The 2,747-nt window shown below is 45.1% G+C and overlaps 1 annotated feature.

Moving 5' to 3' along the window:
- Positions 1,827–2,328: an enhancer, noted in NCBI's record as "NANOG hESC enhancer chr8:40915338-40915839 (GRCh37/hg19 assembly coordinates)". NCBI's record gives its function as "activates a minimal SCP1, AML or CMV promoter by ChIP-STARR-seq in naive H9 embryonic stem cells {active_cell/tissue: H9 hESC(naive)}" and the evidence as "EXISTENCE:reporter gene assay evidence [ECO:0000049][PMID:30033119]".

The following is a 2,747-nucleotide window of genomic DNA, read 5'->3' on the forward strand; positions in this document are numbered from 1 at the left end:
CAAATATCCTTAGAATGTTGAAGTTGAGCTAGAAACTCAGAGGTGTTCAATGTGAGCCTCCACTTAACAGAGAAAATCTTTTTACAGTATCCTTCACCAACACCCCCATACACACAGAGAGAGACAGAGAGAGAGAGCTTTAATCAGATGCCTCCAGCTCGCTACCTCCAAGCTAGGTGCCCTAGGAACTCTAGAGCCTTGACATCAGAAACTCCAAGCCTAGGGCTGAGTCGCCTGCCCAGAGGTCAAGGTCACACACAAGAAGAGGAAATGAAGGTGAAGAGCATTGGCACAGGAAAATTCCTGGGCATGTGAGAATTTTGGATTCAAGAAATAAAATGAGATGAGTTAGAACTGGAGGGAGGAGGAGGGAGAAGGAAAAGAAATGACCTGGTCCCCTACTGTTTCTTTTAACTCCATCCTGCTGTACATCTAAAGCAGATTTACTTTCCCAGCCAGTTTCTGCAACAATGAGTCAGTGGCCAGGAGAAATCTGTCTCCACCTCCCTAAAAATACTAACTTGCTATTGCCAGATGTTGCTCTAACCAGAGACAGAGCACTCCCAGACCCCAGTGACAGATAGAAGTCTTTTATGGGCAAATACCTAGAAGGCAGAACTTATTGGTGTGAATGAGTTTCTGTCAATGTGTAAAAAAGATCAGGTATTTTTCTGTTTGGACAGAGAATCAGCCAGATGGCAAATAATTTAGGCAAGAGCAAAAGAAAAAGAAAGAATAAGTTGTGCAGAGGGAAGTACAGACATAGGACTGTTCTGATCCGGGCTTTTCCTGATGATTGATCCTATTTCCAGCTGCAACGTGCATTGTATTTTTCTATGAGTTTGCTTTTTTTTTTTTTTTTTTTTTTTAGAAGAGTCTAGCTCTGTCACCAGGCTGCAGTGCAATGGCGCGCGATCTCAATTCACTGCAACCTCCGCCGCCCGGTTTCAAGCGATTCTCCTGCCTCAGCCTTCCGAGTAGCTGGGACTACAGGCACAGGCGACCATGCCCAGCTAATTTTTGCATTTTAGTACAGACGGGGTTTCACCACGTTGGCCAGTATGGCCTCAATCTCCTGACCTTGTGATCTGTCTGCTTCGGCCTCCCAAAATGCTGGGATTACAGGTATGAGCCACTGCGTCCAGCCAAAAATAACCTAGCTAGATTACTTGTTTTCTTTCCTAAGCCACCTGACCCTGTAGGTCTATCTGATGTCTGTCTTATCGTGTGCCTCACATTGTATTGGGGAGTATTAATGGCCTCCTTCACTAAACCACAAACTCCCTGAGGGTAGACAGCGTCTGGACCTAATATCTCTCTTTAAGATAATTGGGGTGTAGAGCACAATGGGCAGAGGGACCAGTGATGGGGGTCCCCAAGACTACCCTCAGGTTCAGGGACACTTCAGAAAAATTTGCAGAATTCAGAAAAGCTATTATACACATGGTTATAGTTCTTGACAGCAAAAAGACACAGAGACCAATCAGCAGAGATAAAGAGCACATTAGTCAGGCCAAGCAAGGTGGCTCGCGCCTATAATCCCACCATTTTGGGAGGCCGAGGCTGGATGATTGCTTAAGCCCAGGAGTTCAAAAGCTTGGGCAACATAGTGAGACCCTGTCTCTAAAAAAAAAAAAAAAAAAACACATCAGGCAGAGGCCAGGAGAAGAAAGACCAACTGTCTTCTTCTCATTCTAGATGTCCTCTCCTCTTCTCATGGGTTATACAGGCAGCACCTGTCATTCTCCCAGCAATGAGGTGTGATGCCAACCTGAGAAGCTCGCTTGAGCCTCAATGTCCAGGATTTTTATTGGTAGTCAGTCACACGGGCATAGAGCACCCACATGGCTCACCCTAGTTTCTCAATCTCCAGCCACTCCAGATGTCAACTAGATACTGTGTCACCCAAGTCCCCCACCATAAATCACATTGCCAGCATGAACTACCTGGGTGGCTCAAGGTCCCAGGTAAACAGAAACACTTTCATCAGGCATGACACTCAAAGGGCTTAGAGGTGATCTCCCAGGAGCAGTCAAGGGCCAGCCCTTTCTTTGTTAAGTGCAGGGTTTGAACACCCCAGACCTGCTGTGTCAACCCTTTATTGTGCAGGATCAAAGGAAGATAAACTGCACCATAGGTGCATGTGCTTACCAATCAAAGGGGTTTCTAAGCAAGTCTTGCCTAGTACTAAGCCAATTTAGCCAATCTCTCAATTTCAATGAGAATCAATTCTGGCTAAGGATGGAATCCATGTAAATAGGAACAGATAATTTGCTAGTGTTAAACTTTTAAAACATTCTATTTAAGAAATAAGCAGGCTGGGTGCAGTGGCACACGCCTGCAATCCCAGCACTTTGGGAAGCCAAGGCAGGTGGATCATGAGGAGTTCAAGACCAGTCTGGCCAAGATGGTGAAACCCCATATCTACTAAAAATACAAAAATTATCCAGTCATGGTGGCGGGTGCCTGTAATCGCAGCCACTCAGGAGGCCGAGGCAGGAGAATCTTTTGAACCTGGGAGGTGGAGGTTGCAGTGAGCTGAGATCACACCACTGTACTTCAGCCTGGGCAACAGAGTGAGACTCCGTCAAAAAAGAAAGAAAGAGAAAGAGAAAGAAAAGAAAAGAAGAGAAAAGAAAAGAAAAGAAAGAAAAGAAAAGAAAAGAAAAGAAAAGAAAAGAATGAAGCATATGCTGCAAAACGATGTCTTTCACCTTAAGGCAAACTTTAAAAAGAGATGAGGGCTT

Source organism: Homo sapiens, chromosome 8, assembly GCF_000001405.40.
Source record: "Homo sapiens chromosome 8, GRCh38.p14 Primary Assembly".
Classification (NCBI taxonomy): Eukaryota; Metazoa; Chordata; class Mammalia; order Primates; family Hominidae; genus Homo; species Homo sapiens.